This window comes from Homo sapiens, chromosome 9, assembly GCF_000001405.40.
Source record: "Homo sapiens chromosome 9, GRCh38.p14 Primary Assembly".
In the NCBI taxonomy this organism is placed as follows: domain Eukaryota; kingdom Metazoa; phylum Chordata; class Mammalia; order Primates; family Hominidae; genus Homo; species Homo sapiens.
The window spans coordinates 81,937,530-81,953,658 of NC_000009.12; the positions used below are offsets into that span (position 1 = coordinate 81,937,530).

Here is a 16,129-nt window from a genome sequence, read left to right on the forward strand (position 1 = left end):
TCACTTGTCCATAAAAAGAAATGAAGTATCTATACATGCTGCAACATGAACGGACCTTGAAAACATCATGGTAAGAAGCCAGACACAAAAATCCACATATTGTATGATTCCATTTAGATGAAATGTCTAGAAATGAAAAATAGATAGAGACAGAAAGTAGATTACTGGTAACATAGGGAGGAAGGCAAATATTGAGGGGTGAAGGCTAAGTGAAGCAGAGTTTCTTTTTGGGGTGATGAAAATGTTCTAAAATTGATTGTGGTGATACATGCATAACTGTGAATATGCTAAAAACTGTTGAATGGTATACTTTTGGCGAGTGAATTGTATAGTATACAAATTATGTTTCAATAAATAATTTTTAAAAAGAAAGTTTATATAGTAGCTTTATTCATAATTGGCAAAATTAGAAGCAACAGAAATGTCTTTCAGTAGGTAAGTAAATTTTTTTGTATATCCTAAAATGGAATATTATATGCCATTGAAAAGAAATAAACTGGCAAAACATAAAAAAGGAGGAAAACTATTAAGTGAAAGAATACAATCTGAAAAGGGTGTATGATTCCAACTATATGACATTTGAAAATGGGCAAAACTATGAAGGCAGTAAAAAGGGCAATGGTTGTCAGGGGCTAGTGGGGAGGGGGGGATGAAGAAACAGCACAGAGGATTTTTAGGGCAGTGAACTATTCTACATGATAGTACAATAGTGGATATGGGTCATTATACGTTTGTCAAAACCCACAGAATGTACAACATCAAGAGTGAACGTTAATGTAAACTACGGACTTTGGATAATAGTGATGTGTAACAAATGTACCACTCTAGTATGGGATGTTGACAACTGGGGAAGCTGTGCCTGTGTGGGGATAGTTGGTATATAGGAATTTTCCCACTTACTTTTGCTGTCAACATAAAATATCTGTAAAAAATAAAAGTCAGTTAAAAAAAAGAAGAGGAGGTTGTTAATATCTCACAAGGCCCAACATCAGAGAGTTGGCATCAACTCTCTGAAGTATTCCCTGAACCCTGTTTTCCCTTCCTCCTGGCAGAAGAATTCTACTTCTTTATCTATCTTCCCATTGTGTATTATTTTTGCTTGTTTTACAGCTTTTTGTAGCATATTTAATTACACTTGTTTGCAGGTCTCACTTTCTGTACTATGACCTGTCCAAGGGCAGAGGCAATGTCTTATTTTACTGATATTTTTACAGTAGTAGGAATACTACATAGTAAAGTTCAATAAATATTTGTTGTGTGAATGTATGAAGAACATCTTACGACTACTGTTTTATTATTTTTATTTTTCTGGGACAGAGTTTCACTCTGTTGCCCAGGCTGTAGTACAGTGGTGTAATCTCGTCTCACTATAACTTACCCTTCTGGGTTCAATCTAATCTCCTGCCTCGGCCTCCCAAGTAACTGGGATTACAGGTGTCTCCCACCATGCCTGGTTAAATTTTTGTATCTTTAGTAGAGACTGGATTTCACCATGTTGGCCAAGCTTGTCTTGAACTCCTGACCTCAGGTGTTCCGCCTGCCTTGGTCTCCCCAGGAGCTGGGATAAAACTACTGTTTAAAAATACAATTATAAAGGATTTTGGCTCAGAACCTGTTCTGCTTCAGGCTTTTGGGGAACCTGAAAACAGCTGCCTCCAAGTGACTTATTCCAGGGACAGTGGTCAGGATGTGAGGGCGTGAGCATTGAGGAAACGTCCTAGGAAATTGGGAACATATGAAAGTCCTAAACTAATAGTTTATCTATACTGAGCATCCTCAAGTGGTAACATATTACTCTAAGAGCTTTTGGAAAAGATTCCTCCTTGGAGATAATAAAACCAAGTGCAGTGTGAAATCCAAGACCAGACTTCTGGGTGGTGGTTTAGGTAAATTGAGAAGATGTCATGGGGCCAATGGTGAGACAGTCCATCCTACCAGAAGCCACCTCTGCCACCTCCCAAAGGCTGCCTAAAATGCTTTGGTAAGAGCTTATTACAAGGCATGGGGATAGATATACGTAGAATGTGTGAAATGTTTTCCTGGGAGGGATGACATTTTAAACTTTTATTTTCTACATTACTGGGAGTCATATGTAGATTTTAAGAGGGGGCTAGGAAAAAAAAACTATGAAGACTTTGATGCTAAGAGTGGAAAGGAAAAGTTATCTAAGAGGTGATAGAGTACCAAAAATAGCTTTTCCCTTACTTCCCAAATTTGTCAGCATTTAACAGACAAAGTGAATATTCTTAAGCATCTAACTATTTTAACATTAGGGCATACTTTTTACTTTAAGAAATTACATATTAATATGTGTAAAGTAGAAGCATTATGAATGTAGAGAATTTATTCATTAGGGCTTTGATATTTACTACTGTCTGATTTAGAGAAGTCACTTACCCTCTCTGGGCTTCGGTTTCATTCATTGATAAAATAGGCACATGAGGTCAAGGGCAGAGCCTGTGGCTTACAGATGCCTGTGTCTCCTAGTTTCCAGCAGCAAATATTTATGAGATGAAAACTTGGCTGAGGCTACATATAAAAGAGAGGAGGAAGGGGCATCTCTTGGCAGATTTTATTCTCAAGGCAGGTTACCTGCTCTTGCATAAATGAAAGGAGACCTGGCCTGGCTTGAAGGCTGTCTTATCCTTTCAAAGGAGATCAGTAACAGTGGTGGCCCATGGGTAACTGTGGTGGCCCATGGGTGTCTAATAAGGAGCTTTATAGTATTAAAAGAAACTTCAGAGAAATTAAATTTAAAGTAGTTTAACTGAGCAATGAAAGATTTGCGAATCGTCCAGCCCCCAGAATCACAGCAGATTCACAGAGACTCCAGGGGTGCTTTGTGGTTAGAACAAATTTATAGACAAAAAGGCAAAGTGACGTACATGAATCAGAGGTGAGAGGTACAGAAAGAGTGAGATTGATTACAACTCGGCGTTTGCCTTTTTGAATGCAGTTTGAACATTAAGCAGTCTATGAGTGGTTGAATTATGGCTGCCGGGATTGGCCAACACTCAGCTATTGTTACAGGTGCATACTATTGAGTTAGATTTTCAATTTGTGTAACTATTAGGCTAGGTTACAATTCATCTGCAAGCACTCAAATATAGAAGCATGGAGTCCTCAAGCCATATTTGTTTGCTTTAACAATAGTTTAAGAAAGACATGAGAAGTTAAGAGCCAGTTCAGATGACAGCTGTCATGATAAAGAGTTTAGAAAAGAATGTGTAGGAAGATGGGTTAGGGGTGGAGGATATTGGGATCATTTAAACCTGACAGGAGTCACCTGAATAAAGTATGACAGGTAGTTGGTATTTGGACATTTGCAGAAGTGATTATATAGAATATAAAGCAGATGTTCTCAAGTTTTTTGGATGCCAAGGCACTCAGGAAAAGATCACATTTACATGGCCCACAGTGTAGTCAGGTGAGGTTGCTTAAGACTACGTTCTGCTCTAAGGCTTTGACACACCTAAGTCTCACTCTGCTACCAAACACTGATGGGATCAGTAGTATCATCCAAAAGAGCACCAAGATGACTAAATAGTAGAAAGGAGAGCCTTATTGCTTAATCAGTTTGCAAGCCAGGAAGGGAAAGCATCCAGTGTGGAATAAAGCTGCTGTCTGTTGGAATAGGGGAAGGACAGGTTGGGTTTTATATTCATATTCATACATATTCAATAAGTTTGGGGGAAAAGCTATATATATTTATGCAGGAGCCAAGCACACCATAATGAGTAAACATATGTAACATACATCCCATGTTCACCTTGGTTTTAGCACTAAAATGAGGTAGAATTTGGCCCTTTACATGATAAGGTGAACTGTAGGACAGAGGCGGTTTGTGTGCCGCCTCTATAATCTGGCAGAAACTGGAAATCTCTAATATTAGTAGCTTATCAGAAAAGAATGTTTGTAAGGCCGGTCCTCTGTCCAATCAGAGCCGATAGCTCATTTGGTGAGAGGGAGTTTAGTTATAGAAAGTTAGAAATTTGCCATGCCATCCAGGCCCTGAACCCTTGACCCATCGGTAACTTTGTTTCCTTAACCTAAGGGTCTGTCTTAGTTGATAAAGGGGCATCTATTTTGGTCTTTTAGATCACAATAGCTTAGCGCACTGTAACCTATCCCTGCTTTAAGGGAGTTGCATACTTGCCACCAAAGTGATGTGGAGGGTTGGGCCTGGTTGTGTTTGCGGTAGAGTTAGAAAATGTGGGGTCAAAATGACAAATAAGAAATTAAAATAAAAGGAGGAACTAATTGATTCTGGATTTGAAAACACTCATTGATTTGTCACAGGATGGGTGTGTGGATGTGTTTGTAAAGAAAAGAACTTTTATCTGAGGCATGTGAGTCCTTTTAAGTTATCAGGCCTAGAGAGACATTAAAATGAGACAGAAATCACAGCCTTATTTCCTCCTTGAGCTACACATTCATCTCTTGAAACTGCTTGCTATTGCCATATGGAGCTATATAGTAACCCAATAATGCCACACCTGACAGGATAACCCACCCCCTATAGCTTAATAATGTACAGCCAATCACTAAGCAATGTCACTCCTGTAAACCAATGAGAATTCCTGATTACAACTTTGTATCAGCCGACTCCTTGTCCCCTTTTTCCACTTTAAAAACCCACTCATAACTACTGGTAATTGGAGTGTATATTTAGGCTGACTTGCATCTGTGTTCCCAGGTTGCAATCCTCAAGCTTGACCCAAATTAACTCTCTACTTATAATAATTTTCCATCAACTTCTCCCTTTTAGGTCGATGCGTATGTGTGTTTGTGTACAGAGTATGTTCCAAAAGTGCTTGAACAGTTTAAACTTCACTAACTTGAGAAAAATAAGTTCTATAAATTTACCCCTAAGGTCCCTGGAAGTTTCAATTATATACATTTATTGTACACTTATTTTCATTTTGTAGATGTTAAATAATGCATTATTAGTGAAACCATGCCCCAGAGAGTTGAAGAAAACAATGACTAATGAAATTAATCAGTTTACAAGAAAGGAGATCAAACAAAAACAACAACAGTAACTTGCTAAAATGCCGAAACTCTCCCTGCTTCTGAGATTTAAAAACTGGCTAAAATGGATTAAAACTATTAAGGCCAACTGGAGTTTGCACAGAACAAGCTGGCTGGCGTCACAGCCCAAATTTCTGCCACATTTTAACCAACTCCCCACAAATGTGCCCATGGAATACATGAGGCAGCGTTAAAGAAAACTGTGCATGCCGAGGATTTTCAGACCTCCCCTTTCCTTCCAGCAATCAACTATTAATTCCAGAGGCCACTCCCTAAATGTTTTCTAATAAAATGACTGCATGAAAGCCAGCACACAGGACTGATTTGAGCTGGACTCCTGTCTCCTTTTTGGTTAATTTCCAATAAAAACATCTTTTCTCAAAAAAATCAAATTGGGCAGGGAGCTTCTTTTCCTTGATAACGTTAGTTTTAATCATTTGAGTCAGTCCCTCTGATTGGAAATAGTAAAAACTGACTTCAAACAAAGAATGTAATGTTCACCATTCACGAAACGAAGTAAGAATAAAGGAAGTTTAAGTTTTATATCTGCATTTATGTAAGGCAAAAACATACTGTAGATAAGACGGATTTGAGGACATATGTGATCCTGAGAGTAGAAAAGCCTGGGTACAACAAATATTCCAGGCAGTATTTCAGGCTTTCAAGGCAGTGTAGTTGGTGGGGTCCAAGTTAAGGGCTCCAAACAGCGAAGTGGGACTTGGGTAATGCCTGGTTTACTGTTGGAACAAACGGAAAATTCAACTAAGATAAATATATGACTTGAAAAAGGATGGAGTTGGGAAATGGAGTGTTAGGGTAGGACAGAGCGACCTAGAGGGCCCAGGAAGGTGGAGTCAGCTGGGCTGGTGGGGTTGGGGCTGTGGACACACCCTCCTCTTGTTGATCCCTCCACCCTCAGAAACCCTCTGTGACTCTTCCACGCTCTGTGATGCAGGCCTGTGCTTACAGTTAAGCCTGGGCACCCTCAGTGCTCAGTTGCTTCAGGCAGCTGAGCTATTCAGACCATGGAGAATATCCTCTGTTTTCTGAACAGCTATACTGAGACAGGGCTGAGCCCTGACTCACATTGTTTGGATATTGACCTCAACTTCATCTGCTTGAGTGGGTTGGGGTTGTTTATACTGTACTTGTTCTACATGGTATTGACCCTGTATTCATCACCCACCGAAAAAAATAATGACACCCAAAAGGTAAGGAACTGTGGGTGAACACCCAAGAGAGATGCCCTGTTTTTGTTTCCGAATCCTATTCCCACATTTCTAAATAAGTTTGGTTAGTACAGAGACATGTCTTAGATGGGAAGTCTGAAGAGAGGATAGAACTTCACTCTTCTGTGGAACAGGTTGGGCAGATGTAGGGGTTCAGGAGGACAAAGGTTTCCATCTGTAGCTCATAGACTACCTATCCGGCTGTGGTGGAGAGTTCCAGGATAAAATCCCAAACAGTAATTCTGTGGTCCCAGGTGGGATTATTTAGAGAGTCTGGGCTCTCTGAAGGAGAATAGTCTCTGCTGAAATTTGATCATGAGTCAGATTCCCATGTCACCCGTCATTCAACAAAGCCTTCCTTCTTGTTGGGCTGACCAGGGGAGTAACGCTGAGAGTCTCTGAGCAGAGGCTGGAGCCAGAGCTCTGTCTCTGGGATGCTTGCCCTGTGAGGGAGCACAGATGTGACTGTCGACCTCTGAGTCTGTGCCCTGGATGAGGACTTCTAACTGAGCACATCAAGTGTGGCTCTCACAGAAGAAATCCTCTTTCAGCTTTTCAGAGAAGGGAAAACAAGAAATATTTTATGACCTTTAAAAATTGATAACAAGAATATATTTCTATTAATTAGAGAGTCATATCATTCTTGTATAATGAATGAATGAATGAATGAATGAATGAGCTTCAAAGAGTGTGAGAGAAGTGAGTACCAGCCTGTCATTATCTTTGTTTCATTCTCAGCATCAGGGCAGAGCCAGGAGGAAAAGAAAAAGCGTGACATTTAAAGGTAATGTCAGCCTATTCTATCTGAGCTTCAGGGTGACCCTTTCTGTCTCTTTCATGAGGACTCAGTCCCATGATTTCTTAGAATGTCAGTTACTAGATAGTCTCAGAAAACAGAGCCCTCAGAAGACAGGCTCGTGGGAAATCAATCAGACCTGAGACACTGCTCATAGGCCCTGCTCTGCCCATTCATGGGCATGACAAAGTGATGGACCTGAGTAATGGGTGTTGCCCAATTGGTGGCCACCTGAGATATCGAGGAAGGACTACTGGTTGGCTTGGAGTCAGAGTTTCTGTCTTACAACTTTGCATAAGTACTTTGACTTCCTTGATGCTCGGATTCCTCCTGGAGGTAACCACTGATGTCTATGTTTCACGTGGTGGTTTTGAGCATCACATGGGATAATGTATATGAAAGAATTCTACTAATGATTCCACATACACATGTGAACTTGTGAACATTATCAATGAATATTTGCCCTTTTCTACTGATTCTTGGGGCTATCAGAGTTTAATATCCCAAGGGTCTTCCACAGAGTTACTTCTGTATGATCCCTGTGCCTCTACCTTCATTGCATGTAACATGCTGTTCTGGTTTCCAGACCGGAAAAGTTTGCAGAAGGAAGCAGAAGAGGAAAGAAAGCTACATTCTTTTCTGAAAAGGTGATTAATCATTCCCCTTCTATCCTGTTCCCACCGCCTTCTTTTTTTTTTTTTTTTTTTTTTTTTTTTTTTTTTTTTTTTTTTTGCATGTTCTATTCATTTCAGGGATTCCTTGTAGCCTGCTGTAGTTTTGGGAGTGGGTAGCCATAGGAACGGATATGTGAATGAATGCTTTGAGGAGAGGCTATAGTGAGGTCATATGACCTCACATACGGTGAGCTCATGGATGGGGGGTAATGTGAAGCAGGATTCAGGGGGCCCCACCCCTGCCAGGCTAACAGATCCTCATTTCCTTGTTCTGATCCTGGCTGCAGCTTTGGACCTCCTGTTTCCTGCAGTCCCCTGGGCCAGCATCATGATACCACCCTCTTTCGTCGACTGTTATGCCCAGACCCTGTCTGTCGGGTGTGTAACAGAGCAACTGCTGATATCCAGCGACTGCTGTCTTGGGAGTCCCTGAAAGATGCTGCTCCCTCTGTGTCCCCTTTGGCTTCTTCAGCTTCTGGGGCTGAGTCATCGTTCACTCTGGCTTCCACCCCCTCAGCAACCACTCCAGAAGACCTAATATTGTCCTCTCGGCCTAAGCCCTCTCCACCACCCCCCTTAATTCTCTCACCTGACCTGATCACCACCTTAGCTGACTTATTTTCACCCTCACCACTGAGGGACCCTCTGCCACCACAGCCTGTTTCTCCCTTGGATTCCAAGTTCCCCATAGACCATTCCCCACCCCAACAGCTTCCCTTTCCCCTTCTCCCACCACATCACATTGAGAGAGTGGAGCCCAGCCTCCAACCTGAGGCCAGTTTGTCTCTGAACACCATCTTTTCATTTGGCTCCACCCTATGCCAAGATATTTCCCAGGCCGTGAATCGCACTGATTCATGTGCTCGTCATCATGGACCACCAACCCCATCTGCTTTACCACCGGAAGATTGCACTGTGACTCAGTCTAAATCAAATCTCACCGTCTTGAAGACTTTTCCGGAAATGTTATCTCTAGGTGGCTCTGGTGGGTCATCCACCTCTGCCCCAACAACGAAAGGCATTGACCATTCATGCCCTGCATCTTCAGAATTCTCCTGGTGGCAGCCTCATGCCAAGGACTCTTTTTCCTCTAATTTTGTGCCATCTGATTTCATGGAGGAGCTTCTTACCCTTCATTCTTCTGAGGCCTCTTTAGGGGGGCACTCTGTGGCCAACATCATACAGCCTGTTAACATCTCTTTTCTCAGCCATGACATTCCGGCACTCCTGGAGAGACAAGTCAAAAGAAGGGGTGATTTCCTGATGTGGAAAGAAAATGGAAAGAAACCAGGATCATTCCCAACACAACTTAGGCCAAACTACCAACTAAATTCCTCACGGAATATGTTAACCTCAACTGCTGTTAAGCATGACTTAGCAGAATCCTTTCCTTTTTGGGCCAGTAAAGGCAAACTAGAGTGGCAGCACATCCATCAGCAGCCCCCATATTCTAAGTGTTTTGAGGACCATTTAGAGCAAAAATATGTCCAGCTCTTCTGGGGTCTCCCATCTTTGCACAGCGAGTCTCTGCATCCTACTGTTTTTGTCCAACATGGCCGTTCCTCCATGTTTGTATTCTTCAATGGCATTACAAATACATCTATGTCCCATGAATCCCCAGTACTTCCCCCTCCCCAACCTCTGTTCTTGCCTAGTACCCAACCTCTACCCTTGCCTCAAACCCTGCCCCGAGGTCAGTCCCTACATCTCACTCAGGTGAAGTCCCTGGCTCAACCTCAATCTCCATTCCCAGCCCTACCACCTAGTCCTCTATTCCTGATTAGGGTGTGTGGCGTGTGTTTTCATAGACCCCAGAATGAGGCACGGTCTCTTATGCCATCTGAAATTAATCATCTGGAGTGGAACGTGTTGCAGAAAGTGCAGGAAAGTGTGTGGGGTTTACCCTCTGTGGTTCAAAAATCCCAGGAAGACTTTTGTCCTCCAGCTCCCAATCCTGTATTGGTCAGAAAGTCCTTCAAGGTCCATGTTCCCATCTCCATCATTCCTGGAGATTTTCCACTCAGCTCTGAGGTAAGGAAGAAACTAGAGCAACACATTCGAAAGAGGCTCATCCAGCGCAGATGGGGCCTGCCCCGCAGAATCCATGAGTCTCTGTCATTGCTACGTCCTCAGAACAAAATTTCAGAGCTATCTGTGTCAGAGAGCATTCATGGTCCATTAAATATCTCTTTGGTTGAGGGTCAGAGGTGCAATGTTCTAAAGAAGTCCGCATCAAGCTTCCCTAGAAGCTTCCACGAGAGGAGCTCAAATATGCTTTCCATGGAGAATGTGGGGAATTATCAGGGATGCAGCCAGGAGACTGCCCCAAAAAACCATCTCTTGCATGATCCGGAGACATCTTCAGAGGAGGATCTGAGGTCTAACTCTGAGAGAGACCTAGGAACTCATATGATGCATCTGTCAGGGAATGATTCAGGGGTGAGACTAGGTCAGAAACAACTTGAAAATGCCCTGACAGTACATTTGAGCAAGAAATTTGAGGAAATCAATGAGGGTCGAATGCCTGGGACTGTGCATAGTTCATGGCACTCAGTCAAGCAGACAATATGTCTTCCTGAGAAATCCCACAGCCAAATTAAACATCGAAATTTGGCAGCATTGGTGAGTGAGGACCACCGCGTTGATACCTCCCAGGAGATGTCCTTCCTTAGTTCCAACAAACAAAAGATGTTGGAAGCCCATATTAAATCTTTCCATATGAAGCCCATATTAAATCTTTCCATATGAGGATGCTGTGGGGCCTTCCCCGCAAGATCCGTGAACCCACAGAAATCTTCAAATCAGAAGAGGATATTTCCAATTCCTTTTCCCATTTCTACCTTCCCTCCTCAGCCAGCTTTATTTCTCAGGGAGATTCCAAAGATGGGGTCTCTAAGTCTTGTAGACGAAGCACTTTTCAAGGAGAAAAGTTGGGAACAACAAGCTCAGTCCCTGTCCTTAATCATCCTCAGCCTGTCTCCTCACCTATTGGCAAAGAAGGGCAGGGGACCCTGAGAAGACAATTTTCTGATACTGACCATGACCTTATAGAGACAGATGCCAAAGATGGTGCCTCCACGCCCCTTAGAAGAGGCACTACATATTTTCAAGGAGAAAAATTAGAAACAACAAGCTCATTCTCCATCTTGGGTCATCCTCACCTCGTCACCTCACCTGTTGATCAAGAAAAGCAGGGGACCCTCAGAAGAGAATTCGCTGATACTGACGAGGATCTTACAGAAAGTGTCTGGACAACTGAGGATGGCAGACAGACTTTTCTGCCCCCCACACACAGCATCATAGACGAAGTCAGTCAGAAACAGACTGTACTTGCCAGTAGATGCAGTGCAGAGCTGCCCATACTGCAAGCTGGAGTTGGCCGTGATTCAAGGGATAAGAGAGAGAGTGCCAGTAATAATGTTAACAGGCTTCAGGGCAGTAGAAAGACCTTTCCTGTCACCAATGGGTCGAAGGAGATGTTCAAGGAAGAGGAGATCTGTACTCTTCAATCACAAACTAGGAACAACTTGACAACCAGCAAGTCAGGAAGCTGCTTAGTGACAAACGTGAAAAGAAGCACTTCTCATGAAACTGAAATTTTCCCACCAAGAATATCAGTTCCTCAAACTCCTAAATCATCATATCTTAAAAATCAGATGTTGAGCCAGTTAAAGTTGGTCCAGAGGAAGCATAGCCAACCTCAGAGCCATTTCACTGGCATGTCTCTTGCCTTAGATAACTTGAGTTCCAAGGACTTACTGACTCATGCCCAGGGCATCTCGAATCAGGACTTGGGAACTTCCCAGGTGCTGCATGTCCACTTGGAGGTCAGAGGAATCCGTGTGGCACAGCAGCAGGAGCCCAGGGTCCCTACGCATGTCTTACAGAAATGCCAAGTTAAGAATTTTTCACCAGCTACAAAGAGAGTGAGCCCTCTAAGACCTAATGGAGGAGAGCTTGGTGGAGGGGATGCAGGGCTGGGGACATCCCAACTCAGAAGAAAGAGCCATGCTATTCATAACAAGACATCAAGGGAGTCGCTTGGGAGCAAATCTTCCCCAACCTTGAAAACACAGCCTCCTCCTGAAAACCTTTTCGGAACATTGATGAAGACCTTTTTGCAGCAGTCTAATAAACCCATCATAACATATGGAAAACAAGAAAGTTCCTAGGAAAAGGGTAGCTCCTTGTCATCATCTGTGCAGAATAGAGGTCGAGTTAAAAGTAGAGCTGTCTTTACTGGGACTATTGAAGCTCAGAAAATTAGGAAAGACACTGGGGAGTTCATAGAAGAGAAGCTGGGGCATAGACATTGAATAGATATCACCTGTCCCCAGGAGCCCCTTTCCTCCCCAGTGCAGCTTGGGAAATCTCAGAATGTGCCAGAACTGCAGGTCAGAGCAGAGCCTGTCCAGGGCTATCCCTGCAACTACATGGCTCCCTCCTGCAAAGTGACATGTACCAAATCTTGCAGCCAACAAGCTATCTTTGTCGGCCAGAATTATCCTGCAATGATTAGACAGATCATAGACAAGGACAGATAGCCCCAGGAAGTTGGACATTTAAGGGGAAGATATTGTGTCAAAGGCATCCCCAATCCATGCCCCACAGGAAGCCTGTGCCACAGCCAAACCCCACTTGCAGTGTGAAGTCAACCTGGTGCCTCCGGTCATCCTGACCAGTGCTAAAAACACTGTGTTCAGTGATGTGCCTTTACTAACTGGACAGAAAATACTTCCAAAGCATTTGCAGGGAGGAAAATTTCCCCCCAAAAAATAATTAACTCCTTGTTGAGAATCTTGACTCTCCCCAATAAACGTTCTAATAAGAATAAGAAGGATGTCTTTTCTGTGTATTGTGTTGGAGGTATAGGTTTTGGGTAACCCAAGCTTGTGGTTAGGGAAAGGTAGGAGTTAGCTCAGCCCTTACTGACTCCCTCTTTTGAATTTTAAAAGATGACCAATCCCCTGGAGCTCTTGTGGAAGAATGAGTATCATGTGCCTCCAAAAGCCCCTTCTCTCCCTGATGAAGTCTGAGGAGATGAGCTCTTTTCTACCTCTTTGCTTTAGACTTACTGATATCGTATGGCAGCCTGCACCTTCCTCCCCATTCACTGCTTCATATCCCTTAGAGCAGTAAGGAAGGCAGCCCTTCCATATCTGAAGAAAGGTTCAAGGACAGGTACATTTTTCAGAAATAGTGGTTTAATCACTATTTAAAAAAAGTTGTCACTGACCACAGGATCATATAAGTTGGTGGGAGTGTTTGGGGTATTGCTGGTTGGGGTAGGGTGTCAGGAACACTGTGGATGCTGCTTAAGAATTTGACACGAAAGGCATGCCCATGATTTAGGGAAGCATATTTTGACCTCAACGTTGAGGTCTTTCTACTGTTAAGTCACTTGGGGAAGTAGTTCCCCTCCCTGTGTATTTCTCCACGCTGCCTGGATTGATGACATTTTTACAGAGCAAAAAAATCACCTGGCTGTCTGTGGCAGGAATGTTGACCAGGCAGCCACCTACCTCCTAGGGTAAAATATAGCTTACAGTAAGGAAAAGATGTCTTTGAATGAGAAAGTAAGAAAAAAGTGAAGCTAGGAAAGGATGACCATGCTAGTCGAAAAAGGTTTATGCCCCATCATGTCCATATCATGACCCTTTCTTAATCTGGATCTAGGCACTGCCCCTTTGAGGTTTACCAGGGCACTTGAAGAGCTGACAGATGCCATTTTGGCAGAAGTGTACATGGGGCTGTTCTTTAAGGAGTAAAACAGTATCTGCAGGGCTGTTGTCAACATGGCATCCCTCTCTTTAGGGAAGGTGATCTTTGTGCCTTCTTTCTAGCCATGTTTATGGTAACAAGCAAGATCTTCCCTTAGTTTATACGGTGCACCTATCAGGATGGAAGTGCAACCTATGATCTTCATGGGGTTAGTGGAATATAATAGATATTGTCTAGAACACCTGCAGCTCATGGTCCAGAGATGAGTCCTTGACTATGCATGAGGATTAAAGACATTTGGAGGCTAGCTATGAATCTTTACAGAATGCTCCTTATGACTAAGAGTGTGCATATATGCACCCTTAAAATATTAGAGGTCTGAAGAGAAGGGAACTCCACTTATACAGACTGGGACTAATAAATGAGGTGAGTTTTCTAGAGGGCACTTGAGGTAGGTTTTCCAGAAAAATGTGTGAATTCTTGGTGTGAAAACAAAAACAAAACAAAACAAAACAAAACAGATGTCCACTACAGCTCCTTCACCATCCTTCTCTTTTCCTGTCCTTGCTTATGCCACTGACCCTACTGTGTGTGAAACTTAGGATTGCAGAAATAATTCAGATTTCGTGAAGGCCTTAAGAAGGACAAAATTGGGATGAAGCCCAGAGCAAAGAACTTAAGGAGGTGGAGTATCCATGGAGGGCCCAAGCATCCATGTGGATAGGCTTCCAATAACCTGGCCTCCTAATTCCTCTGTCATTCCATGTTAGGTCCTTTACCTCCATTCCAGTTCAGTTACTGCCACACCCAGAAGCTATCATCAGAAACATCTAAAAGTTATCATCAGAAACCCTCTGTTTTTGGAGGCAGAGTCTTGTTCATTCGCCCAGCCTGGTGTGTAGTGGCATGTTCTTGGCTCACTGCAACCTCCGCCTGCCAGGTTCAAGTGATTCTCCTGCCTCAGCCTCCTGAATAGCTGGGATTAAAGGCACATGCCATGATGCCGGGTTTTGTTTTGTTTTTTTTCGTAGAGACAAGTTTTCACCATGTTGGCCAGGCTGGTCTAGAACTCCTGACCTCAAGTGATCTGCCTGCCTTGGCCTCTCAAAGTGCCGGGATTATAGGTGTGAAGCACTGCTCTCGGCCACCTTCCAAGGGTTTTATCTTCAGAGGAATTATATGTCCTGAAATGCATCTATTGAGTGGTAGCTAAACTCTAGTCTTGATGGACTGATCCATTCTTGCCTTGAAATAGGTACACAGTATATGCTTTAAATGGGTGAATTTTGTGGTTCATGTATTATATTGCAATAAAACTTAAAGGATTTAAAAAGAAGAAGTGCTTGAGGATAATAAGAATACAATACGATACACCAAAAAGGAGTTAACACATTTTTGGAAGATGAAAACCTGGTGGAGGAGAGAAAGCTGATTTAGCAAAGTAGACAAAGCACCAGTTATGCTTATTGCTGCTTCCTTCTCTTCATGAGGCACTGAACATGTTTTATTTCTTAAGTCCTTTCATTGAAGAGATGGTTAAACATACACAAGAGCAGGTAGAACAATATAACTCCCGATGTACCCACCACCTAAATTTCACAATTATCATTTAGTATGGATGATGCATCCCATGTTTTACATATGATTAAAGTGCAAAAGTCCATTTAAACATCTTGCCATCCATCTCTTAGAAGATATGCTATGTGCCATATGTCAATGCTGTCACATTCCTTTGATATTTATCACACGAGGAACACACTTATCTACAACAGATGTACACAGCATTGGTGACAAACACATTGAACTTTAGTGGCCTTTGCAATCAGTTCTCTTTAAACTTCTCCTTTAAGTCAACCCCAAGGAGTCATTTGAATTTTTACCCACAGTCCATACAAGAAGCAACCTTACAGAGCAAATTCAGTGCACAATATTGCAGTCCCTTAATCACACAGTAACTATAACACGAAAATAACAGTAGAAAACTGTGCATGTTGCTAAAAACTTGAGATTGCCATATAAGTGTTTTCAAATATTTAAAAGAAATTTTTTCTATCACATATTTAAAATGAGTATTCATGTTTCCACTTATATAAATTAGATCAAATATACATGTTTATCTACCCTCCTTCCCATAGTGCAATTAAGAGTAAAAGATTATATGAAAAGAGGCTCAACATCATTAGTCATCAGAAAAATACAAATAAAAATCAACATGAGATAGCACTTCATGCCCACTAGGATGGCTGGAATAAAATAGACAAGTGTTTGAGATAAGTTGGAGAAATTGGAAGCCTCATACACTGAGAGTGGGAATGTGAAATGGTACAGCTGCTTTGGAAAACAGGCAGTTCCTCAAAATGTTGGCATATAACCCAGCAAATCCAATCCTAAGTATATACCAAGAGAAATGAAAATATGTGAGTGCAAAGTAACTTGTACACAAAGGTTCATCGCAGCATTATTCAAATAGCCAAAAGATGGAAACAATTCAAATATCCATCAACTGATGAATGTATAAACAGAATGTGGTATATCCATACAACAGATTACTATCTAGCCATAAAAAGGAATAAAGTATTGACACATGGTACAACATAGATAAACCTTGAAAATTTTATGCTGAGTGAAAGGTCAATCACAAATAACCACAAATGATTCCATTCTGATGTCCAGAATAG

The 16,129-nt window shown here is 42.3% G+C and overlaps 1 protein-coding gene and 1 long non-coding RNA gene across 3 annotated transcripts in view; one reads left to right on the forward strand and one right to left on the reverse strand.

Annotated features, from left to right (window-relative positions):
• Positions 1-16,129, reverse strand: part of LOC105376105 (uncharacterized) — a 91,092-nt gene that overhangs the window by 51,532 nt on the left and 23,431 nt on the right. The window contains exon 4 of one of the 2 annotated variants that reach the window (NR_188610.1): positions 8,861-8,957. This is a non-coding gene — a long non-coding RNA (uncharacterized LOC105376105). Of the gene's footprint in view, positions 1-8,671; positions 8,958-16,129 lie in introns of both variants that reach the window. The other variant, NR_188611.1, reaches the window with a different exon arrangement.
• Positions 5,971-12,564, forward strand: SPATA31D3 (SPATA31 subfamily D member 3). Its single transcript, NM_207416.3, has 4 exons — positions 5,971-6,242; positions 6,999-7,044; positions 7,643-7,703; positions 8,018-12,564. Exons 1-4 carry the CDS (start codon positions 6,057-6,059, stop codon positions 10,476-10,478), a joined length of 2,754 nt encoding a protein of 917 aa, NP_997299.2. The 5' UTR covers positions 5,971-6,056; the 3' UTR covers positions 10,479-12,564.